The 27,210-nt window shown below is 36.7% G+C and overlaps 1 protein-coding gene across 3 annotated transcripts in view, besides 1 other annotated feature; it reads left to right on the top strand.

Annotated features, from left to right (window-relative positions):
* CSMD1 (CUB and Sushi multiple domains 1) overlaps positions 1-27,210 on the top strand; it is a 2,059,554-nt gene that overhangs the window by 909,259 nt on the left and 1,123,085 nt on the right. The window lies entirely within an intron of this gene.
* Positions 19,167-19,816: an enhancer, noted in NCBI's record as "OCT4-NANOG hESC enhancer chr8:3923362-3924011 (GRCh37/hg19 assembly coordinates)". NCBI's record gives its function as "activates a minimal SCP1, AML or CMV promoter by ChIP-STARR-seq in naive H9 embryonic stem cells {active_cell/tissue: H9 hESC(naive)}" and the evidence as "EXISTENCE:reporter gene assay evidence [ECO:0000049][PMID:30033119]".

Raw genomic sequence — 27,210 nt, 5'->3', positions numbered from 1 at the left:
AAACCTAGGGCTGGTTTTTTTCACTTAGCACAGTTCCCGTGAGGTTCCCACAAGTTGTTGCAAGCGTCGATAGTTTCTTTCATATTCTTCTTCCTAGGCTTGTCCAGCTTATTAGGGTTACAAAGAACGGATAGGATAAAATTTATATTAGGAAAGAATTGGAGTATCCAAGGGGTTTTAAACTGTCAGCAAACATGATCTGAGCAATTAAAACTCATTTTCTAAATAATCAAAATCACCACAATGTAAAATATCAGTTTTTTGGAGCTTCTCCAATATAGCTTCTTTTTCCTTTTCTTTGAGTTGTGAGATGCCATTCATTTTGTCTTACTCCAAGAAGCTTCATTAAACTTCCTAACTAGATAAGGATGTTCTTATTCTATGCACAGATTTTTGGGGAAGAAGCTCTGTCAGGGTCCCTAAATCAATCAGATGATTCATGTCTAGCTGGGCTGAAGTTGCAGGCACTGTGCTGCCATCCTCAGCAGAGTCTGTAATGGTGACGCCTTCAAGGCCGGTGACATCTCAGCCTCAGGGTTGTCCAACTGGTTGGACCAATATTCCCTGATTTATAAACACATTCACTTCCTTTGGCAACATATTGCTTATGAACTTTAGAATTTGTGGATAGTTTGCATAAGGAAAAATCTAAATTCCCTGTCACGCGCCTGCTGTGGTAATATGGCCATCTCCTTCTTTCTGCAGGTGCTTTCCCAAATTACCAATTTTTGTAGTTTTGTTTTTGTTTTTGTTTTTTCTTTTTTAAACTGAATGTATGTATTTGCATTAGACCATGCTTTTGTCATTCTTCTTCAAGATGGAACAGAGCTGTCTTGAGGCACTGGAATTTTTGCTCAGCAGGACTTGAATGGAAATGCTACATAAAAGCCACATGCTTTGGGTAGGGGGGTGGGGGTGGGCAAGAGAGCAGAGGGGCTGCTTTTTCTGTTATTGCTAATTGATGCCTCTATTGCTAGTGCTTTCCCTACTGGTCTTGCTAATGTTGTGCCATCACTAAAGAGGGCTTGGCAAACTCTGGAAGGCTCGCTTTCATTTTCTCTCTCCCAACAAGGTTGATTAAGGAATCGAGTTCCTAACATCCTACCAATTGTCCTTTTCCTTGAGGAAGTAAGGAAAAATAAAAACAGGATTAAAATGTTAGAGGCTTAATGAAAGATGTTTTAAATGATTTAGCAATTACAACAAAATCATGTAAAGGGTGGAAATGAAAACGAGGTTAAAATTAGGAATTTAAAAAATTTAAATCGCATATTGTTTCTAATTCTAGATTGCATTTATGGTTGTAGTTTGTTTTTTTTTTTCTTTTTTAACAAACCAATATTTTTTGTCACTTTTTTCATAAAAGTTGAAAGATTTTTCCAATTTTTGTCTTTTCACTTTTATTTATTTTGTAGTAAGGGATTACTACTCTACAGAGTAAAACTAACTGAAAAATCAGGAAAAAATACATTTTAAAATTCTTTCTCTTTTAATTATTCTGCTTTTATAAAAATAATTTAGTCATAAGAGCAGACATATTGTGGTTTTACCTTTCCGAAGACAAATATTACTAGCCATTTTCATGTATTGATGCATTTGATCTACTAATTTTAAAAGGGTTTTTTTGCCCACTTCTTGATGGGGTTGTTTGTTTTTTTCTTGTAAATTTGTTTGAGTTCATTGTAGATTCTGGATATTAGCCCTTTGTCAGATGTGAGTAGGTTGCGAAAGTTTTCTCTCATTTTGTAAGTCGCCTGTTCACTCTGGTGGTAGTTTCTTTTGCTGTGCAGAAGCTCTTTAGTTTAATTAGATCCCATTTGTCAATTTTGGCTTTTGTTGCCATTGCTTTTGGTGTTATAGACATGAAGTCCTTGCCCATGCCTATGTCCTGAATGGTAATGCCTAGGTTTTCTTCTAGGGTTTTTATGGCTTTAGGTCTAACGTTTAAGTCTTTAATCCATCTTGAATTGATTTTTGTATAAGGTGTAAGGAAGGGATCCAGTTTCAGCTTTCTACATATGGCTAGCCAGTTTTCCCAGCACCATTAATTAAATAGGGAATCCTTTCCCCATTTCTTCTTTTTGTCAGGTTTGTCAAAGATCAGACAGTTGTAAATATGCGGCATTATTTCTGCAGGCTGTGTTCTGTTCCATTGATCTATATCTCTGTTTTGGTACCAGTACCATGCTGTTTTGGTTACTGTAGCCTTGTAGTATAGTTTGAAGTCAGGTGGCGTGATGCGGAAGACATTTATGCAGCCAAAAAACACATGAAAAAATGCTCACCATCACTGGCCATCAGAGAAATGCAAATCAAAACCTCAATGAGATACCATCTCACACCAGTTAGAATGGCGATCATTAAAAAGTCAGGAAACGACAGGTGCTGGAGAGGTTGTGGAGAAATAAGAACACTTTTACACTGTTGGTGGGCCTGTAAACTAGTTCAACCATTGTGGAAGTCAGTGTGGCAATTCCTCAGGGATCTAGAACCAGAAATACCATTTGACCCAGCCATCCCGTTACTGGGTATATACTAAAAGGACTATAAATCATGCTGCTATAAAGAAACATGCACATGTATGTTTATTGTGGCACTATTCACAATAGCAAAGACTTGGAACAAACCCAAATGTCCAACAATGATAGACTGGATTAAGAAAATGTGGCACATATACACCATGGAGTCCTATTCAGCCATAAAAAATGGTGAGTTCATGTCCTTTGTAAGGACATGGATGAAATTGGAAATAATCATTGTCAGTAAAGTATCACAAGGACAAAAAACCAAACACCGCATGTTCCCACTCATAGGTGGAAATTGAATAATGAGAATGCATGGACACAGGAAAGGGAACATCACATTGTGGGGACTGTTGTGGGGTGGGGGGAGGGGGGAGGGATAGCATCAGGAGATATACCTAATGCTAAATGACGAGTTAATGGGTGCAGCACACCAGCATGGCACATGTATGCATATGTAACTAACCTGCACATTGTGCACATGTACCCTAAAAGTTAAAGTGTAATAATAATAAAATAAAATAAAACGAAAAAAGAAAGGTTTTTTTCTTCTAGGCTCATAATGAAGCGGGGTCTGTAATTTTGTTTGTTTTTGTGTGTTTCCTTTTAGTTTTATTTTTTAGGTCTTTGACAGACTTTGTTATCAAAATTACGTTAATCTCCTAGAACTACTTAGGCAATCTTTGCCCTTCCTCTATTTTCAAAAGATTTCTTAAAATACTGGGTTTTGTTGTAGTTGTTTTTAAATGCTCGGCAGAACTCACCAGTGAAACCATCTGGGCCTGTCATTTTAACTTTAAAAAAGTTTGTAATATCAAATATTAAATTTTTCTTATACGTCTGCTCAGATATTCTACCTTGTGTTAGTTTTAATAGGTTGTAATTTTCTAGGACTTTGTCCATTTTACCTGTGTGGTCATAATTTTGGGGAAAAATTTATTCACAGTATATCTTGTACGCTCTTTAATGTCCTTAGGATCTATAGAGATTTTGCATCTTTTATTCCTAATGTAGTTAATACATATCTCTTCTTTTTCTTGATAAGTCTCAGTAATCTTCATCAATTAATCTTTCCCCTAAAATGCCTTTGGCTTTCCTAATTTCTCTATTTGCCTTTTAAAATTTTATATATTTTTTTCCTATTAACTTCCTGAGGCAGAATCTTAAATAATTGAGTTTATATGGTTTTTCGAGTGTAATATAAGTATTTAAGCTACACACTCCCCCATGAGCACTACTGTAACTAAATCCAACACATTTTGATATGTCTTATTTTTCTAATTATTTGGTTTCAACTTTTTTTAACTTTATTTGTAACAATTTATTTGATCCATTGTGTATTCAAGTGTTTTGCTTGGTTTCCAGATATTTGGGGTCTTTAAAAAATACTCTTGTTACCTTTTCCTAATTTGGTCAGAGAAAATACTTTTTAGAATTTAAATGTTTTGGACTTCATTGAGAATTGTTGCATTGTGTAGCATAGTATCTATTTTAGTCCATATCTCCATTTGTCCTTCAAAAAATTTATGTATTCTGCAGTGGTTGGGTATAGTGTTCTGGGTCAACTAGGTCAACATGAGCACAGCTTCGGTTCCTTTCCGGTGGTTGGTAGGGGGACCCCAGTTCCTTGTCATGTGAGCCTCCCTGTAGGGCTAATTTAGTGTTCCCATGACACCGTGGCTGGAGTCCCCAGAAGGTGTGATCCAAGGCAAAAAGGAGGAAGCTGCAAAGCCTTTTATAATCATCTATATTCAGAAATCACAGTTTGTAATTCACACAATACCCTGTTGTTTAACCCTATCAAACCTATTCAACGTGGGAGGGGACCATAGAGCTTACCTGCTAGGAGACGAGAATCGCTGGGCGTATTTCAAAATGAGCTACCACAATGCTTGTCTGAGACTGTTCCTGCTGCATAACAAAACGCCACAGACTGGATAATTTATAAATAACAGAAGTTTATTTATCACAATGCTGGAGGCTGGGAAGTCTAAGATCAAGAGTTCAGCAGATTTGGTGTCTGGAAGCAGTCCAATCTCTCTGCTTCCAAAGTGTTGCATTCTTACTGAATTACCCAAGGGGATGAACTTTGTGTCCCTCCATGGCACAAGGGAGGCAAAGGCGAAAAGGGGATGAATACTGTGTGAAGCCTCTTGTATAAGGGCATTAATTTGATTCAGGAGGGTAGAGTCCCCAGAGCCTAATCACCTCACAAAGGCCCTGCCTCTTAATACTATCACCTTGGGTCTAAGTCTAAATAAGAGTTTTGGAAGTAAACAAACATGAAATCCATAGCAATACCTTTATTGAATTTTTATCTAGCTATCTGATCAAATACTTAGAGAGGGGTGTGGTAATTTAGCCCAGTCTTATTCACCTTATATTAAAATGAAACATTATTTTTCTCTCCTATGGCAGAAATGAAAGAATAGTCTTCACTGAAGAAATACCCATTTTCAGTGATTCTGTTACTTTTGTCTTGTCGTGCTAATAAAACTGATAAAATTTAGCTTCTAAACTCCAGAAAGGAATATAAAAACTATGACATCATACATAAATATGCAATACAGTTTTATCTTCTGGAGAAACCTATGTGTTGGACAAGACAGTCTTGATCAGTATCTTCTTTTGCAAGTAAGAAATTTGGAACCCAGAGAGCTTAATAAAACCTTATTGATCATATGTAACACATGGATAATGTATGTAATGGCATGATTACTCACCAGTACATTTTGGAAATTCAATATGTAGAATTCTGATACCTGTTTGTGTAGATTTTGCTTCACCTTTCACTTGTGAAGTACTCACGGGTAAGATCGTGCCTTACTCTTAGGTACACTGTAACCGTGGTGTGCACTTGTCAAGTAGGAGTCATTGTTTAAAAGCAGGCAGTGATGATGGGTTTTAAGGAGGAGACAACTATTACTACTGGGGAGCTAGAATGAACCCAAGTAAAGATTCATAGAAATGCATGGCTTGTAAATTGCAAACTGAGCAGGTGTACCTATGGGGGTGTATACATGGAACGAGTGAGGAACACAAACATGGAGACAGAGACTGTTGTCAGATGAGTCGTAGATTCCTAGCTGGGCCACTCACCACCCTTTTGATATCTAGAAAAAAAAAAAAACACCAATATTCGAACATAATTTTCTTAATCTTTAAATTATTTTTTATATTATTTTTACAACTCCATGAGAAGACACTGAGAAAAGGGGTGGAAAGGCAAGAATATGGCCCTTCTGCCCCAGCCTATGAAGATGGTATTCAAAGGGTCATTAGAAACATTCCATTATCCCTGGCTACTGTTTTCTCTCGTGATGTCACTCCCTGCTACTAACCTGATGAAAAGAGAACATGGGTTATTAATTGCATAAACTATTTTTCATCACTACAAAAATATCCATTGGGCTATTCATACTATGGAAAGAAAGCAAGTTTACTACAGGAATAAATTAATGTGAACCCACAAGAACGCTGAAACAATGTGTCTGTGTATCAATTTAGCTAATTCTCCATGAAGAAATCTTTAATGCTTTCCCTAATAAAGTGTTTTTACTTTAAAGTGAAGTACATCAATAAATATCTTCAGTGTTTTGGCATCAGATGTGCAGCTGTCTTCATTGTTTCAATAGGCACAATAATAATTTGCATGCTTTATGATGATAGAACTCAGAAGAATGGAGCTGCCTGATGGTGTTCTATATCCTGTTTTTAGCCAGAGTTAAAATAGACATGACAAAACTGAATAGAATGCCTGATTACAGATTACATAAATTATGGAAAGTATATTTCGTTCCAAGGGATGCAGACATTGCCTAGTCACAATTTGTTTATCTGCTCATGGTACAGTACTTGATAAACTCCTATACTTTATTCTCCATGGGCTATATCTACTCATTCAGTTGTTTCCCACCAAACAGTGGGCATGTCTCTATAGACTAAAACATTAGCTTATATTCAATTTATACTGTGTCTTTTTCTCTTTTATATGATCCAGTAGTTGAATAAAAATTGTCTCAAACACCACCCTATTTGAACCGACCCTGGTAATGAGCTGTATAAGTTCCATTCGGGACCACTCTTGTGGTCGGGTCCATACCTGGACACAACAAATCAGATGGGTGACATATGATACTGTTAATGCAACATTGTGGGAAAAAGTGAAGAGAAGATAGCTTTTCAACATACATATATATATATATATATATATATATATATATATATATATATATATTTATTATTATTATTATTAATTTTAGTAGAGACAGGTTTTCACTACGTTGGCCAACATAATCTTGAACTCCTGACCTCAAGTAATCTACCTGCCTTGGCCTCCCAAAGTGCTAGGATTACAGGTGTAAGCCAGTGTGCCAGGCCTGAAATTTAAATACAAGGGTTGCCTTAAAGCAATCTATGGAGAACAAATAATTTTAAACATTTATTAGCAAGAATACAGCAAGTTTTTTCTCAAAAGGATAGTTAGAAATACATGTGAAATACAGAAAAACTAAAAAAAAAAAAAATTATATTTCATAACGAAGATTTTATGTTTAAAAAGTTGGATATCAGCCGGGCGCAGTGGCTCACCCCTGTAATCCCAGCACTTTGGGAGGCCGAGGTGGGCAGATCACAAGGTCAGGAGATCGAGACCATCCTGGCTAACATGGTGGCACCTGTAGTCCCAGCTATTCAAGAGGCTGAGGCAGGAGAATGGCGTGAACCCGGGAGGTGGAGCTTGCAGTGAGTCGAGATCACGCCACTGCACTCCAGCCTGCGACACAGAGCAAGACTCCCTCTCAAAAAAAAAAAAAAAAAAAGTTGGATATCAAACTCATCATTATGGCACAGTTAGGTCTGCATTATCAATGCATAGTGCAATTACGTAATACGTTTATATGTGTAAGAAAATTAAAAGAAAAAAATGATGTAGAAATGCAGCAAAGAGTTGAAAATAGCAAACTGAATTGCCATTGGAAATTTGTAAGCTGATTTTAAAGTTCATTATAGCACTTTCCATGTAAATTATTTGAAGATTTCTCTCTTTGGCATGTAGGCATTTCTTACAAACATATTTTTTCCTACTCCCTACTGGTGGATTGCATTTCTTGAAATAGCGCTATTTTTTTCCAACTGAGAGATGAAAGAGGAATCGGAGAGCCTGGGGACACACATGCAGGGCGAGTATGGGTATGTAAAGGATTTTGTGATGATGGCAAGGTCTTCGGGAAGGACATTGCTATATTGGGCATCAATTACAAGTCAGAGAAAGGAAGGAGGCATATTTAGGCTCAATTTGGTTTATGTATCTGAAAATTCCCATGGAACAGAGTGAGAACAACTTTTGGAATGAGCTGAAAAATGCTTATCATAGGGCAATAGCATTGGGACAAGAGAATAAAGAGCAAATTTGAGAATGGTAAGAAACAAGAATTAAACTCTGTCTTAGGAAACAAATACATGAAAAAGATCAAATATACCTCCCTTTTGTCACCCGGGTGGATCTACTGACCTTGAATGACCAGCAGTTCAAGTGACAGCAGGAGGAATTTGATAGGCATAGCAGTGGTTTACAGGGAATGTGTTGTTTTGACCAGAGTGACTTCAGTGTGATGGTAAAAAAGTTAAACAATGCAAGTAAACTGAGGTGAAGCCTCAACTAGACATTTAAGAGTAATGATATGTATAGGATACTCAAATTAATTATTGCATATAAAAATTATTAAGAGCTTATTATAATAAAAGACTGAGGAACCATTAAAAGATACCTCTGATAAAAAATATAAATTATATATAATCTATATGTCTACCATATATATATATATATATATATATACACATATATATATATATAGGTGACAAATGGGCTTTTACAGTGGGAGGTGTCAGTAGAGAAATGGAGTAGCTGAAATTCACAGAGCTCTCATCTGGATTTAGAGACTTCTCTCTACACCAGTTTTTACCCATTGGGTGCAGTTGGATGCGTCATTTAACTTTCTTGACTTCATCATACTCATCACTAAAATGAAGTAGGGGCTTAAAATATATATCATTTATGACCAATTATATTGAGAATAAGGGTTAGATACCACATAGTACAGAATTACCTAGAGTTGCAATTTTTCTTACTATTAGCTGGAATTTATTCTTCATTCTGATGATATAATTCAGAGGAAAGTGTTATCCTTGTGTAAGATTTTTTTACTGATATCCATGTTATAGTTCAAAATTTCAGTAGTTCTTCAGACTGGAAAGATAATGGAAAAAATGAGAAAAGAGTAGCCTATCTTAAGTTAGCAGTTAAAGCAAAGGCATGGCTGGCCTTGCGTGATGGTGTATACTCTGATATGGTTGTTGTTCAGAGCCTGAAATGTGAGGTCATTCCCCAGGGTGGGTCAGGGCTTGGAGAGCCAGAGATGAGTAGCAGTGAAAGACAAGATATGGCTAAATGTTTTGTTTGGAGCACGATGCATAAGGCCTTGTTAGAGAATAATCCTTATAATAAAGGTAACAGGCAACTATCAAATGTTTTTAAGTTTAGGACATGAATCCTTAATATATTATTTCATTTTCTTTTAGCTATTTGTGTTTTAGGTATTCGTTTTTGGCTCTATTTGTTCATATATACTTACATTTCTAGTAATGAATTCAAAAACATCACCTGCTGTCACTATTACAGTTAAAATATTCCATAAACCAGAGAAAGTCTATGCTTATTGTATTAGTCCATTCTTACGCTGCTATAAAGAACTACCTCAGACAGGGTAACTTTTAAAGGAAAGAGGTTTGATTGACACACAGTTCTGCAAGGCTGGGAGGCCTCAGGAAACTTAAAATCATGGCAGAGGGAGAAGCAAACATATTCTTCTTCACATAGTGGCAGGAGAGAGAAGTGCCAAGAAACGGGGGAAAAGCCCCTTCTAAAACCATTAGATCTTGTGAGAACTCACTCACTGTCGTGAGAACACCATGGAGCAACCACACGCATGATTCAGTTACCTCCTACAGGGTCCCTCCCATGACACGTGGGGATTATGGGAACTGCAATTCAAGATGAGATTTGGGTGGGGACACAGCCAAACCATATCACTTATCTTTCCATAATATTTATAGGAATTAAAATATCCCCCCTCCACCCTCCCAGAGAAAGAAACAATTCTATGTTTTAAAACTTAGAGGGAAAGAGTACTGATTTATTTTCTTAGTATATATAAAGTACCAGTGGATTGGGAAAGATTCCAATTATAATTTCTGGGCTAGAACAGATATGAACTGGCTCCCTGAGGACAATAGCCTGCTTCCTTTTTCACTCTGACAACCATGAAGGACTGCTCTGTCATCACAACCTCTTGAGAAACCTGGCTAGGGTGGAAAAATTCTGAAAGGGACACACAACCTGAGAACATGCAAACCGTTTCTACATTGACAATTTTATATCTATAAAATGAATCCAGTGCTCCAAAACGTCTCACAAATCAAGACAATTTCCCCAACACAGTGTGAGTTATACTACAATAATAGATTAACTCCGCTATGCAGAACAAGGAATAAATTAATCATCGTTTAATATTTTACCAGTTACATATATTCTCTAAGGGGATATCTGACATTTTTAGTTATCAATTCCCACGAAATTCATTTGCCACTTTATTTTACCTGTAACAAGAGATTTGGACAGAAAACATTTACATTAGTATTAGCAGATATAAAATTTATTTTGATATTAAAAATAACATTTGAGTTTTTTCTGTTCTTTAGCATCAAAAAAAAATTCAGCACTTCATCTTAGAGAGCTCTATATTCTCTTAGGTGAAGGTATTTATGTTTTTATTTACATAAACATATATCAACAATTCATCTTTATTTTATAATACTTTGTTTTTTAGATTATCCTAAGTCCTTAAGCTGCACATACTAGAATGAAATATTATTTACATTTTAAATGTGCTACAAGGAAGGATTTTCAGCTTAGCAAAATTTAATCCTGCTTAGTTTTTCGTATCATTTTGATATTTACTGTATTCAACTTTGTTCTTTGTCTAATAATACTGAAGAAATATTATTCACTGTATGAGCATTATTTACTCATCATTCATACTGGGGTTATTACAGTGAGTAAAGACAGGCATGTCCCCATTTGTAGAGTTCATATCCCATTAGGGAAGGCAGACTCAAACTGTCACACAAAAATATAAATAAATTCAAAGTGTGGTGCCTTATCCAGAGAAACTACTTCTGCCACGTGGAAGTTTAAGAGGAGTGTGCATTCTGGAGGAGAGAAAAAAAACTCAGAAAATTCTACCAAGAAAAAGGCATCATGGAAATGATTATGTACCACAGTCATAACTAAAGAGAACTACTTTGCAAGCAATGTTTTTTTTTTGTTTGTTTCTTTTTCCTAAATCAATGAAATTAAATGGTCTGGAATCTCAATGTCATCTTTATACAAAATTTTAACGTACCATTGTCAATTATAAAAGGATGGATATTTCACATTAAAAGTGAGTTCTGCCCAAATGTAGGACAGTAGTTTGAAATGATTTGTGGTAGAATAATTTATGTCGGATCCTTTAACTTCCACTGGGAATATTTATGGTAGCTCATGTTCTCAAATATCATGTTTTGTAAAGTATCAAACTTTAGATTTTCATAATTGACTATAAACAGGTTTATGGACAAATGCTTCTCTGAAAGTAAATAATCATGTACAAAAAACTTAAATATATTCTATCTTGATGAGATAGACATTGAAAATACTGCTATCATTTATGGACTAAATACTACATTTTACATTCAGATGCCAAATACTGTTAATCTATAGTTTTTATTTTCTTTCATTGTTTAGCTGACACCGTTTCATGACTTTCTTTATGAAACAATTTGTTTTTGCTTTCTCTGGGGTTACAAAAAGCTGTATAATTTGTGTACAATTTAGCATAGTGACATTAACTAATTTGGACCATACAAGTTATGCATTATATGTATATGTTTACGTGGAGAGCATGATCAACTTAAAACCCATTTAAGCTCACTTAATAAATTATATTACAAAATTTGTCTATTCCATATCAATATTATAACAAAACTAAATGTCTAAAAGCAGAAGCAATAAATGCATTTTTCTTTGAAGTCATTAAAGCTTCCCAAAGCCAATGACAAAGATTTTATTATAGTGATTTATCAAAAGAAGCAACCGTCAAAAACCGTCTGTATAGATTAAGACTACTTGAAATATTTGTATAGCTGTAGACTAGTTATTGACTATATTACTGAATTTAAACTGTTTTAAACCCAACTATTAACAAAGCAATTTTCAACCAATTAATAATGAGGTAAATAATTTAGCAAAATTTTGTATTTGGGTTCATTTTCAAGTGTATAAATTGCTGAAATGGAAAACAGCTGGTGTCTATACAAGTCAATATTTGCATGTTGGTGAGTTACTTAGAAATAATCTAAATATAACTATACTTCAGAGAATTATTCCCCAGAATAAATTCATTAAAATTCAATTCATTTTGCTTTATTTATCTCAATACTGAAAAGTGAATATATCCCTCATACTGTAGGATTAATAGCATGGTTATTTTTATGCCATCTGGCACTAAGACACATCCCAGGTCCTCTGAAAGAATATTGGATGAGGACAGCCAGAAAATGAGGAGAAAATAGAATCTAAGTAAGACAGTCGCACAGAATAACAAATAGCTCCCAAAATTTCCCTCAGCTTCTTCTAAATTTACTTTTTTTAGCTTCATTAAGTACGACCTTGCTCTTATGTGACTAAGAACTGTCAGCTTTCACAATTCTTCATTTTGTAGTACTTCAGCTAAATTTCTTTACTCTCTTCTTTCAACTCTAATTTTGGCCTATTTTTACCTTCTCATCATTTAATGCACCTATTGCTTTTTATTTTTAAAAACAAGTTATTGTTGTGAGCGTTCTTTGAAGTGCTTCATCTCGATTTTTTCTAAAAGTGAAATCACAAAAGTTTTCATGTTCTGCCAATTTCTAGAATCATGATGGTAACAGGAAATAAGACATAGTGGATCATAAAGAGAAAACCAGAATGAATATTGACTATCATCTACGCTACACTTATAGGTGATAATTGGGTTGGTCCTTACATATAGAGTATATTGTGTAATTCAAGGCAAAATCTGATGTCACGAGCAAAATTTTAAAAACTTTTGAAAGAATGTTCTAAGTGGTAATATCCAAGGTTGTGTTGATTTGACTTTTTCCACTGTACATAGAGGTTGGGTTTATTTTCAAGCTTCTAAATTGTTGTAGTGGAAAAGACGGCTTTTGGGCTGCCTTGAAACCTATGAGCTTCATACTCAATTTCCATGACTGTGAGGCTCCATGTGAAGGAATTGCAGAGAGTAAGGCAAAAGTTGTAAACACTTTGTTCATTTCTGTATTCCCAATTCACAGAGTTGAAATCATTCTAGGAGATCCACAGAAATAAAGGGGAAGCCTTCCTTAATCATGTGGATGTTTAATTTTCAAAACATAAACACAGAAAACACAAACACATACAACCACAGAACCTCATATTTCTTATATATATGAAAATATGCACAATACTTAAAACTATGTGATTCCTGTTTAGAGCTTTCAGCAATTGCATGGATTATAGTCACAATTCCCTTCACTACAAGTGCGAAATAATAAAGTCTATCTCCCAGAGAAATAAGAATTGAAATAATATAATGGTGTAAAATGCTTGGTACATAGAATGCAGTAAACTAAAGGCAGGTAGCTATTATTGAAAACTAGTATTTGTACGTTTGTGTCAAGTAGAAGTAAATACATTTTGAAGGCAAAGGAAGGTATTTTTTTGTAAAAGTGCAATTCAGGATGGCCAAATAAACTCCTATGGGATTCAACCCTTCTTCACTTGCAACTGTGGATGAAATATAAAAATAAATACGTAAAACAGAAAAACACCTGGAAACTAGTAGCACTAGAAAGTTGAAAAGAAACAGGCAGATTCCGAAGGAGTTGAACAGCCTATAGCGAATCATCCATTTTTTGATTTTCAGGTCAAGCATGTCAGTGCTGGTGGCAAAACCAAAACTCTATCCTAACATCCACTTTCTTTCTGAACCAGCAAAACCACATCCACCAGAAAATGAGGGAGGAATCCCAGAAAGGAGAGCTCTAGACTGGAGAGCCCCACACTGTGGCTGCAGGTTCTGCCCAGACTTTGACTCTTGAGCTATGCCTAAGTGGAGCAGATTCCAAATGGGGTAGCTGAGGACAGAGGAGTTCCATGAGAGTGGATGTGCACACCACCCCCCCACAACAGGAAGTTTTCATTTGAATGCAACTAACTTAATTTCCTGCCAAGGAATAAAAAATAAAACCCCAAAGACGAAATAAATATATTCATCAACTTTTTGGAGGAGCATAACAGAGTCTAAAATCTCCAAAAATAAACCAAATTCACAATTCCAGAAACAACAACTAATCACTCCACATATTTCAGCTAGTTTAAAATAAAGAATTAAAAACTAAAAGGCCCCCAAAACTGAGACCAAGCTTGATAGGACACAGATGTTGGAATTAGCGGAGAAGGATTTTAATGCAGCTGTTATTACAATTATGCTTAAATAAGTAAAGGAAGCAATGCTCTTGGTGAAAAAAAGTTAGAAATATCAGGAAAAAAATAGGCGTTATAAAATGAAAATCAAATGAATAATTAAATATCTAAACTACAATTTTTTTTAAAGTAGGTTTACTTGGAAAGGCTTAACAGATACAAAATGACATAAGAGTTAGGGAGCTTGATGATGTTAGTCCAATGGAAATTATCTAATCAGTAGAATATAGAGAAAATAAGACTGAAAAAATATAACAAGCAGGGCGTCAGGCTTCTTTGGGACAATATCAGGCCTAACAGACGTTTAGCTGAAACTCCGGAAGGAGAAAGAGAGGGAGAATAAGGGAGAAACTATCTTTAATGTACTAATGGATGACATTCTCCAAATTTGGAAAAAAAAGAAAAAAAAAGACTCAAGAGTCTCTGTAAACTGAAAGATAACTGCAAAGAAACCATAACCATGTACACCACAGCCAAACTGCTTCAAAAGAGACAGAGAAAAAGCTTGAAAGCAGCCACAGAAAATGGACGCATTACATACAGGAAACAACAATTTAAATTATTGCTGATTTTACATCAAACACCATGGAGGCCATCCATAGAAAACAACATCATTAAAGTGCTAAAAGCAAAAAGAAAGTAAACAAAGCAAAAAGGAACTGTCAACCTAGACATTTATATCACGTGAAAACAACCTTCAAGAATGAGGGTGAGTCAGAAAATCAGAGGAAGCTATGACAGCTTATGAGAGGGTGTCAGTGACAGGCTCGTGGTGGAGGAAATGCTGAGATGGTTGCTCGGGCTTCATGGAAACAACCTGTGGTGAAAACTTGGATCTTCAGTGACGAATAGAGAGTGTTATAGGTGGTGGCCGGGCACGGTGGCTCACGCCTGTAATCCCAGCACTTTGGGAGGCCGAGGTGGGTGGATCACGAGGTCAGGAGAACGAGACCATCCTGGCTAACACGGTGAAACCCCGTCTCTACTAAAAATACAAAAAAATAGCCGGCCGTGGTGGCGGGCGCCTGTAGTCCCAGCTACTCGGGAGGCTGAGGTGGGAGAATGGTGTGAACCCGGGAGGCGGAGCTTGCAGTGAGCCGAGATCCCACCACTGCACTCCAGCCTGGGCGACACAGCGAGACTCTGTCTCAAAACATTATAGGTGGTAAATATTTTGGTTAATATAAGAAGACATTTTCTCTGAGTTTCTTTAAAGTGCATGAGACTTTTTAAGTAAAAATAACAACATTATGTTTTAGAGTTTGAATTGCATGTTTGTAATATATATGATAAGCATACCAAAAAGAAAAGACAAGAAACACAGAAAAAAAGAGGTTTGGTAAATGCACCTCTAAAATTGCATTCTTTATACATTTTAAAAAAAATAAAATTGGTGTAATATTTACAAGAAGACTGAAAAATCTTGGGTGTTTCTTTAATTCCAAGAGCAAACACTAAAACACTGCGAAAAGTATAGTTAAAACACCAATAAGTTAATTAAAAAAAATTCTTAAGAACATTGAACATTCTAAAGGAAGGCAGGAAAGAACAGAAAAACAAAAGTAGAGAAGACAAACAGAAAAAATAATACTGCAATTTTATACAAAGTGGTAAAAAACAAAAACAAAACAAAACAAAACAAAACACCTTACTGTTGCAGTACCGGATAGAAGACTTTTGTAGAAGTCTTCATTTCGATATTCTTTCAGTAGTGAGTTGTCGAGTAATTACGTGTTTAACACCAAAACAGGAGTTTGGAAGATAAAGGTGAAGTAGACAGCATTCCTAAACTCAAGGTGCCTAGAGTTTAGTGGGAGAAAGAAAGGGAAGTATAACATGAGAATGCAATCCAGTCGGAGAAACAGGAGCCATGGCCCAGGAAGCTGCAGAGGCTTGAGGGGAATACAGGCCAGATGGTATTACGCTGTGGCCACTGGCCCAAGATACATCTGCATGGATGCCTGTGAATGGGAGGCGGAGAGGGAGGGTGGTAAGAACAAATCATCGATCATTAGCAAATGTCAGGCTGTCTGCACATTTACTTACCTAGAGATAATATCCTGCGAAAGACAAAACTGTATTTCCTTTACGGTGAATATCATAGATGCTCATGGAAAACTCGGAAAACTCAGAAAACAGACGAAAGCATAAAGTAAAAATCACCAGTGGTTCAACTACCTGTAGATAAGAGTTGGAATTTTGTTGACTTTCAGTTTTTAAAAATGGTCAAAAAATAATGACCTCCTACTAGACAAAGAATTCACAGTAATCTTTACCAAAATTTTTGATTTTCTCATCTGTATGACAATTTTACATTCACGCCTCAATCAGAGTATGTGGTTTTATGCCTACCCATCATAGTATATATTTGCAACCAGTCTCCTATGAACAATATTGTAGTATTTCCCTTCAGGAAATCAAAATGGAGTCCATGACAAAGTCTAATAAAATTGTTTTAAGAAGGAGTAAATAGTCTATAGAAGGAAAGAATAAAACATAAGCAAAGTAAAAATCAACTACTGGGTTATCTTTCCAAGCCATTCAACGTTTGAACAAAGGAGAAAACTTAAATTGTAAATTTTGCTAAGAATTTCTCCACAAAATTATAATTATTATTTGGTTATTATAACCATATTTTTACATACATAATGCAGTGCCTAACTAGATGGTGGAGCTGCATTTTGATACAGTACATGAATGTCACTGATACCATGAATTCATGTCAGTAGTTTTATTATGTAATATTCTAATCTGTTCAGAAAATCATTATTTTATGGTACAGAAATACACAGCGCAGGCATAGTTATTTCTTTTTTCCCCACTAGATATCTTGAAATGAGAATAATAGTTTTATCTTTTCCATTTTTTTTATCTTAAACTCACAGTTCCACTGATATGGTAACATTATATGAACTAGATATGTTTTCTGCAATCATTACAAACACCTCATTTGAGAAGGTCCAGTGGCCTCCAGAGGATACATTTTATGTTTCTGCATTTTGTGTCGTAAAAACTAAACCTGTTTTGTTTCTGTAATGATGCTATGTGTTATGGTGTCATGAAAGACTTCTTTCTAAAAATATACATTTAATTTTCTGTAACCGTGCTTTTCATGTCTCTCCCCAGTGTGAAATAAAAGTCACACTCCCATGGCTGACAAATAAGATCCCCTCTCTGCTTTGAGCCCCACTCTCATGCTGGCCTCACAGCTCTCCCGCAATACACTGTCCTCCAGCTACAAAGTAGACTTCTCAACTCTCCGAGGAGGGCAACCTTTGAGGGGTTCTCCTCATTTTCTTCTGCTTTTAACACTGCACGGAAGATTTTTCTGCCCTTCTGCCACCCCTTTCCTAAGAAAACCCTAAATGACTCTCTATAGACCCTTCTGTGTGGCTCTGCAAGAAGACACTCACTGTTGTGTCCCTTTTTTTCTTTTTTTCTTTTTTGAGACGTTGTCTCCCTCTGTCGCCAGGCTGGAGTGCAGTGGCATGATCTCGGCTCACTGCAACCTTCGCCCCCACTCAGGGTTCAGGTGATTCTCCTTTCTCAGCCTCCCAAGTAGCTGGGATTACAGGAGCGCACCACCATGCCCAGTTAATTTTTGCATTTTTAGTAGAGTTGGGGTTTCATCATGTTGGCCAGGATGGTCTCCATCTCTTGACCTCATGATCCGCCCACCTCGGCCTCCCAAAGTGTTGGGATCACAGACATGAGCCACTGTATCTGGCCCCATTTTAGTAATTCTGTTTACAGGAAAACGTTCATACAATTAGTTGTCCAAAGAATAACACGTTCCTTTATCAAATTACACTATCTAACATGGAAAGTTTAATATTCCACAGGACAAGTTAGGTGGTGAGACTGCATTTTATTCTTTTTGAATGAAATCAGTTTATGTAGGGTCATTTTGGATGAATAAAAGAATTGATAATTAATAAACAAAAATGCTGTTGTTGAAACTTATTCTGGCTTTAGGTACATGTAAAGCTATACAACAAAATTAAGTTAAATGCATTTAAAAATTTTGAAATTAAAAAAAAAAGTAATTTATTTCATGTGAAAAGAACTGATATACCACTGTATAACAATAATAAATTCTCTGGGAAATATTCATTAGTCTAGGAAATACTGTTTTTCTACCAAAATCCAGTTTAACTCCCGAATCACTTTAAAATTCCCTGAATTATACCTTACTTGAAAACGTTACTTAACGAAAATTTAGTATGGCGGAGATTTGAAAAAATTCTATCTCGGCTATGATTCTTAGTTTTCATAATTATCTGTCTTGAACATCTGACTTCATGTAGAAAAAAGATGATAAAATAGATGCAAAGACGGAGGATAGCCTTTCACCCAGTATCTTTCATCCTTGCTTTCCCTTTGGTTTTGCATGAAGTGACTCTGTGGAAACACATTTGAGGAAAAAGAGCCTTGTACCCTTCTCTGTGTCTGAATTTCAGTCTTCGCCATGTGGCAACACTTGATTTTCATCATACACAAAACTAAGAGCTCATGTTGTCTTGTTTCTCAGTTGTGGAGTTGCTTTAGAATATACTCATTAGGTTCCACCCTGAGGGTATTTACACAATACAAATAGCATTTGTCACTTTACTTAAAGCATAATGTTATAGTTACGTTTGTTCTGTGAGGCTGTGTTAAATCAGCAGTGATCAAGGCTACTGTGTGTGTTTGTGAGTGGGTGTTGTCGCTTTCGCTTTTGGAGCACAGGCAGAGCTTGCATTCGTTTCTCGCCCCTTTCCGTATTTGCTTGTGGTTTGGATTGCATCTCAGTCTTCACTCTCGTCCCAAACAAAATATACTATCATCTAATTTCAGGTTGGATAGAATAGAAATGTTCTTGGTTTGATGAGCAAAAACATCCACAAAGAGCTGTTAGTGGTTAGTAATGTGGTACATTTCCCTTCTGGGTATAATCACGTGAACTACAATTACCACATCATGTAACAAGTCTTTAATGGTAAAATTTCAGGTAGATACATTTAGAAATAATACAAATTGTTTTCTATCAAGTCAATAGATTAATTAATGCTTACATCATTTATTTGGAAAATATTATCGGGTAGCTAGCATGTGCAAGGCACTCTGTGGTGTTCTGTAAAATTAAGAGGACATGCCAAACATCCCTGCGCTGAGTGGGACTTAGAAATACACACATACAATGACAGAACGGGCTAGGCAGCAGAACACCTTTAAGAGCCAGACATAAACGGTTAAGGTCGTACAGAGAAAGAAGGGATACCTCAGAGGTGCAGTGGGAACAGGAGACAAAGAAGGAAGGAGGCGTTGCCCATGACTGGCAGTTGAAACAGTCCCTAAGGAGAGGTGAATGTGAATCTTTAGAAATAATGGGTGAGTCTTCCAAACAGAGAAAAGAGCTTGAACAAAGGCTCAGGAGGGGAAGCTCAGAACTGTTTTCATTGTTTTGTAAATGAGCCACCTATTCCAGGCTTTCCCATTCCTTTCTTAGGGCTCCTTCTGACTTCCTCCAAGGATATTCGTGGAGAAGGGTCTCCTTCCCCTATTTTATTTTTCACCCAAATTGGACGAACATCAATGATTTGTCAGTTTTCTCTAACTCTCATTTTTCCCTGGGCCACTTTGTTCTTCTTTGAGCAGTCTTTCTTATGGAAGACAGTGAAGGAAAACTTTGGGTGTGTGTGTTTTAAAATATATTCCAAAAAAAGAAAACTCCTCAAGCAGTACAGTTATTTTCTGGAATTCTTATTTGCTGTAGTTCCCCAAATATTTAGCATTTATGTGTTTGGTGATAGAGCCTATGTTTACATAACCTAGCACAGATACATGTGGTGTTCCTACTTTTGATCTTCCAGAAGTTGGTAGTGTCATGGCTAAAAGGCATTGCCTGGCCTTGGTGCATGAGCTTCATTCATGAGTCTCCTTTACATAGCATTTGAGCAAGAATACATCTTTTAGCAGTGAAAAAAGATTAGCTACTATCAAGAAACATACAGTTTCTTGATACCGTAACTTCACTTTGAATCAGTGTCATGACCTTTGTATTAGCTAATGTACATTCAGTAAAAGAAAAGCCAAATTTCCTATTATATTGATTCAATTATTCTCTAGAAGTTTTACAAAATGAAAAATTTTTAAGACTGTAGGACCATAAACTTTTACTAACTATCCATGACTTTGGTGAACACCAGCCTTATTCTGGTTAAATGTAAAAGTTCAGTGTGCTACTGAGGGGGATGGGGAAGCACTGCCCAACAGAGTCAGTGGTTCTTGAAATGTTAACTGCACTGTAATTGTTTATGTGTTTAGGACTATTTTCTTTCATAAGAAGTTATGAATGGTTTGTATCAGAAGTGTTTTGTGTAAATAGTGTCAGTAAAATGTAATTTTTAAAAAACTCTAAAAACATAAACTAGAAAATGACATTTTTAAATCTTCACAATTTTTATATTCGGTAAAATTATAATCAGTAATTTTTAGCACATTTTAATCATTTCAGATTTTTTTTAAAAATGAACAACTTAAGTGGATTTGATGAAAACTGACACAAAAGTTAGTGAATGCACAGCGTTAAATCTAGAGGTAAGGTTTTTTTTTTTAAGCCTAGGTCCTATTCTCAATGGAATTGACCACTTTGTGAGGAAACCCATGTAGATACACACATTACAAACACAGTACACTTACATCACATTATTGACATGATATAGATATAAATAACAAGATCACCGGGAGTACAGGAAGGCTGTTTCTAAATGGACTGGATTGTTTCCACAGCAGTACTGAGAGATCTCGGTTGTGAAGGTTGAGTACGGATACTGGGGGTGACCAACACGCCAGGGCAGCAGCAGTGTTGGAGGGGAGAATACAGAGTGTACCTGCCATAGAAACCATGTATGTGAAGGCACAGGTGTTGGGAGCCTTGCCACGTTCGGAAACGGCAGTTGTATGACAGGGTGGAAGTAGGAGCTGTGTGTTGACATCGATGCACCCCTCATGGGTGGCTTCACTTGGATGTTATCCCTGCCTCACATTTGCAGGCACATGCAGCTCTAGACAGCTACAGTTTTGATATATGAAAATTTAAAACTTGGGCAAAGCCCGCAGAAGCTTACTTATTCTCTACCTTCTCAACATTGAGGGAGAAAACAACTGCAGAAAACCCTAAACAGAGATACAATTTGTGAAAGAGAGCAGGTGACTATGAAACACCATATGGAGCCCAGGAACATTGCAGGATATAAAATATGGTACGATAAAAAAGGGAAGACTGACGTCAAGTATTTCCATCAGCGAATGACCACTGGGATGCAGAAACAAATCTGAGCCATGGTGAAAGCTCCTAATGTCTTTAGTTTGCACTTTTCATAGTCAAACTTTTGAACTTTACATCAGAGGCAGAAACAATTTTCTAGGACCCTTTGCTGCAGGAGAGTAGATTCGCATTTCACATGGGCTTCACACTGCGCACTTCTCAGGAGCCCTCACTCTCAGCTGGTGTCAGTTGAGCATCTGAGGCTTCTTTAGGTACACTCATTTCCCCATTTTCCCAACACACACTCTCTTTTTGTTTAATATTTTATGATTTAATGAAATCTGGATGAAAGATGATTTATCACCTACATCATTGTGCACGATTTGATATTTCAGCTACGTGTAAAATGCTGATGTGACAAAGTCATAGTCTACTCCTGGTTCCTTCTTACCACATTCAAAGTGCTCTCAGATAGATGCAGGTTTAAGTGGAACTGAATGAAGAAGTAGATATGAAATTTAGATTCAAAATAAAAGGCACTTCCCATTTCTAAGGCAGTGGACTCCTTACTTAGGTAGCATGCCTGGTCCATGCTTATCCTTCCTGGTAGAATGCCCCTCAGGGAGGCAGCACCTGATGTGTCCACTGCTGGAAGCCGCTGAACTGGAAACGTACGTGGCACCTTGTCAGTGCCAAGGAATATTGCTTAAATTAATGGCTGGTTCTTAAGGAGTATTTTTCTTGGTATTAAAACTGTGGCACACAGAATAGTTCTGTTTTGTTTTATTTAATAGACGCATATAAGACATGGTATATGCCAGGCATTGTTCTAAGGACATTGTATTCATTTAATAATCATAATTTAAATATATACTATAATCTATATAGTTTACTTGTCTGATATTTAAATTTTTCATACACATTTTCTTTAAACATAATTTTTATTTTATCTTTAAATTATTTTTTACATTGTAACTAATTTTTCTTTTTTGGTTTTTTTGTTCTATGTAATAACTGTACATATTTATGGGATACATGTGATATTTTGAAATATGCACACAAAGTCTCATGATCAAATCAGGATAATTATGATATCCATTACTGTCAACATTTATCATTTCCAAATCTTCTAGGCATTTTGAAATACACAATAAATTATTAGCTATAGTCAACTTACAGTGCTATCAAACATTAGAACGTTTTTCTTCTCTCTCATATATTTATCCCTATTAGCCAACGTTTCTTCCTAAATTATGTAACTAACAGTATCTCTTAATAAGTGTCTGGATTACCTATTTCCTTATTCCTTTATCTGGATGATGTTGTTAACAGCTTTTTATATAGAAGAATTTTTTTTTTTTGCAATGATCAGTAATATTGCTGCAGTTTACTCTTCAGTATTACGTACAGGCTTTCATTTCTCTTGGCTGGTAGGGTTTTGACACACAAAGACCTAAAGTCAGACATCCGTGATGCTGACAGATACTGGGTTTGAACAATCAGATTTTACTGAGCATGCAGAACCTGCCTTTTTTTTTTTTTGAATTTGATAATGCTGATCAGGAATAATGACAGTGTGGCTTTGCCATCATGGGTCTTGCACAAGGAATCTGTGTTTCTGCACGTGACTACTGAATTGAAATCTAATAAGTGCTGTTTTTCCAGCTTTAAGATCAGATCTGGGACGTATCACTGAAAACTTTTATAGGATATGTTTCACGAAATGTTGTTCATGTCAATGCCACAGGTGATTTAAAATACATTTCCCCACTTAGAATGGTTATTGTTTATTTATTTGTAGTGCATTTGATTCTGACATTGTGTCAGATATCTGAGATTCTTAGAAAATTTCTAGAATACGTATGTACAACCGATTGGTCTCATTGCCCTCTTATTGCTTGAGAAAAAGCCATTGTCAAATGAAAATTCTTCTGCCACTCTCCACCCTGGACCATATTATTTAGAAGTCCCCAGTTGACATGCTCTATTCTGCCAACTTTGGTTTTATTGCAGCATTTATGACATGATGACTCTGAGGAAATTAGACTTGTGTGAACCTGGCCCGTAGCTTGGAATGCCTTTCCTCACTCCCGTCACTTGGCAAGTCTTGCGTGTTTCTGGTATCAGTGCATATCATGAGCCTCCACTGACCCTCTGCTGACCCTCCATGCATTCTCTGTGATGCTTTGCCATTCTCCTGGCACCTGGCTCCACCACGGCAGCTGGCACTCTGCATTTTCACCACCTGCGTGCTCTCCTCCCCACTACACCTTGACCTCTCAGACAGGGCAGCAGGGGGTTTGGCATCCCCTGACTAAGATAATGCTGATGAAGAATCTTTCGTTAGTCAGTAATGCATAATTGATTTATTTATTCACTTTACCAGTATGCTCAGAAGTTGTCAAGTCATGGAAAGACTGACCTACATCTATACAGTGTATATTTCTTCTAAAGTGAAGCATCATTTAAAATAAATAATCAACTGCAAATGGAGAACTCCTTTTTAGGTACTGAACATGCAGAGAGGTGACTCACTCATTAGAATAATTAATTTGGTAAGGAATAAATGTAAGATACTTGAAAAATCATAAAAGATATTTCACACCATCACGAAACAGTCTTTCCACACAGTCCATCCTCCCTTGCAGAATCTGTCTGGTAAACAGGTCCTAGTGTCTGGAACCAGACAACTTCCTTACCATAGTCAAGAGCATGAGGGTTATTATTCTGTAGGCTTTCTTCACTGCAGCTTCTCCCACATTCCCTACTTACTTTACAGTTTTTATTTAAACTCCTTTTGCCACCTCTTTGGTTTCTTATCCATTTTCAGGGAGCTATAAAAGTTTCACAGGTTGGAAGAGTGCTAGGAAGCTGATTTAATCTGTTGTGCACTTACTTCATTTCATTTTTTAATTTTTACTTCTACTTTTCTTTGTCTCTGAATTTTTAGTGGTTCCTTGTTAAAGAAATTCTTGTATGATAAGATGTACCTCTCTGTGAAGTCAATATTCCATGCCTGTGTCTAACTTAGAACAGCTCCTCTTTCCTCTCTAATCAGCAGGGCTGGGTTCCTAAAAGGGCTCATGTTAGAACTGCAGCTGAGGGATTTTCCATCGTAAGGGGCAAGGATGGGGATGAGATGAGCCTGCTGGAGCCCATCTTTATATTCTCCATAAGATATCAACAAAAATAATACAACAAACAAATTAAATGTAGATGGCATTTTGTACATCATAAATTAATCACAATGGGTATTGTGAAATTAATTCTCTTTTTTGCTTTGCTTGCTCACAAGCAGCTTGTCTTATCTCTTTCCTCCACACTTTCAATGAGAAGCTTCTATGTTGGTTTCTTCTACTGCAAATGGGAAACAGGCTTAGTGGGAGTTTTATTTTTTGCCTTTGTTTTCTTCCTGTCTGGTCATCTAACCTTACATGATTAATGCATTTCTGATTTTAGTCCTTGCCCCATTCCTACCTTTTTTTAATCTCAGGGTCCTGTGTGGTCCCACATAGGTAGAATAACATGAATAGCTGTGATGCTTTGAGCACATCTTATTAAAATTCCCATGTGGAGGAGCAGGCATTTCTCAGGCCTTATCTATGTTCATGCCAGGTGCCGCTTCTCCTTTGCAGATCCTCCTCCAGTAGCCCCATCGCTAAGGTGGCTGGGACAGTTCCGAAACCCAGAATGACCTTCCCCTGGAACTCATTCGCACTGTTAACCATTGCAGAGGCCACACTCCTTCTCCGACATCCCCTTTGTTTTTCTATTCTAAAACCTCAGCTCCTTCCTTCTCAAATAATAACAAGCATCATTAGAAATTCACCAATATGGCCAGAACTTCCAACACTATGTTGAATAGGAGTGGTGAGAGAGGGCATCCCTGTCTTGTGCCAGTTTGCAAAGGGAATGCTTCCAGTTTTGGCCCATTCAGTATGATATCGGCTGTGGGTTTGTCATAGATAACTCTTATTATTCTGAGATACGTCCCATCAATACCTAATTTATTGAGAGTTTTTAGCATGAAGGGTTGTTGAATTTTGTCAAAGGCCTTTTCTGCATCTATTGAAATAATCATGTGGTTTTTGTCTTTGGTTCTGTTTATATGCTGGATTACATTTATTGATTTGTATATGTTGAACCAGCCTTGCATCCCAGGGATGAAGCCCACTTGATCATGGTGGATAGGCTTTTTGGTGTGCTGCTGGATTCGGTTTGCCAGTATTTTATTGAGGATTTTTGCATCAAACTTCATCAAGGATATTGGTCTAAAATTCTCTTTTTTGGCTGTGTCTCTGCCCGGCTTTGGTATCAGGATGATGCTGGCCTCATGAAATGAGTTAGGGAGGATTCCCTCTTTTTCTATTGATTGGAATAGTTTCAGAAGGAATGGTACCAGTTCCTCCTTGTACCTCTGGTAATATTCGGCTGTGAATCCATCTGGTCCTGGACTCTTTTTGGTTGGTAAGCTATTGATTATTGCCACAATTGCAGCTCCTGTTATTGGTCTATTCAGAGATTCAACTTCTTCCTGGTTTAGTCTTGGGAGAGTGTAGGTGTCGAGGAAATTATCCATTTCTTCTAGATTTTCTAGTTTATTTGCGTAGAGGTGTTTGTAGTATTCTCTGATGGCAGTTTGTATTTCTGTGGGATCGGTGGTGATATCCCCTTTATCATTTTTTATTGCATCTATTTGATTCTTCTCTCTTTTTTTCTTTATTAGTCTTGCTAGCAGTCTATCAATTTTGTTGATCCTTTCAAAAAACCAGCTCCTGGATTCATTAATTTTTTGAAGGGTTATTTGCATCTCTATTTCCTTCAGTTCTGCTCTGATTTTAGTTATTTCTTGCCTTCTGCTAGCTTTTGAATGTGTTTGCTCTTGCTTTTCTAGTTCTTTTAATTGTGATGTTAGGGTGTCCATTTTGGATCTTTCCTACTTTCTCTTGTGGACATTTAGTGCTATAAATTTCACTCTACACAGTGTTTTGAATGTGTCCCAGAGATTCTGGTATGTTGTGTCTTTCTTCTCTTTGGTTTCAAAGAACATCTTTATTTCTGCCTTCATTTCGTTATGTACCCAGTAGTCATTCAGCAGCAGGTTGTTCAGTTTCTGTGTAGTTAAGCGGTTCTGAGTGAGTTTCTTAATCCTGAGTTCTAGTTTGATTGCACTGTGGTCTGAGAGACAGTTTGTTATAATTTCTGTTCTTTTACATTTGCTGAGGAGAGCTTTACTTCCAACTGTATGGTCAATTTTGGAATAGGTGTGGTGTGGTTCTGAAAAGAATTTGTGTTGTGTTGATTTGGGGTGGAGAGTTCTGTAGATGTCTGTTAGGCCCGCTTGGTGCAGAGCTGAGTTCAATTCCTGGGTATCCTTGTTAACTTTCTCTCTCGTTGATCTGTCTAATGTTGACAGTGGTGTGTTAAAGTCTCCCATTATTATTGTGTGGGAGTCTAAGTCTCTTTGTAGGTCACTCAGGACTTGCTTTATGAATCTGGGTGCTCCTGTATTGGGTGCATATATATTTAGGATAGTTAGCTCTTCTTGTTGAATTGATCCCTTTACTATTATGTAATGGCCTTCTTTGTCTCTTTTGATCTTTGTTGGTTTAAAGTCTGTTTTATCAGAGACTAGGATTGCAACCCCTGCCTTTTTTTGTTTTCCATTTGCTTGGTAGATCTTCCTCCATCCTTTTATTTTGAGCCTATATGTTGGAAGTTCTGGCCAGGGCAATTAGGCAGGAGAAGGAAATAAAGGGTATTCAGTTAGGAAAAGAGGAAGGCAAATTGTCCCTGTTTGCAGATGACGTGATTGTGTATCTGGAAAACCC

This window comes from Homo sapiens, chromosome 8 (genome assembly GCF_000001405.40).
Source record: "Homo sapiens chromosome 8, GRCh38.p14 Primary Assembly".
Taxonomy (NCBI): domain Eukaryota; kingdom Metazoa; phylum Chordata; class Mammalia; order Primates; family Hominidae; genus Homo; species Homo sapiens.
The sequence above is the reverse complement of the archived record's forward strand: the minus strand, read 5'-3'. Positions and strand labels throughout refer to the sequence as shown.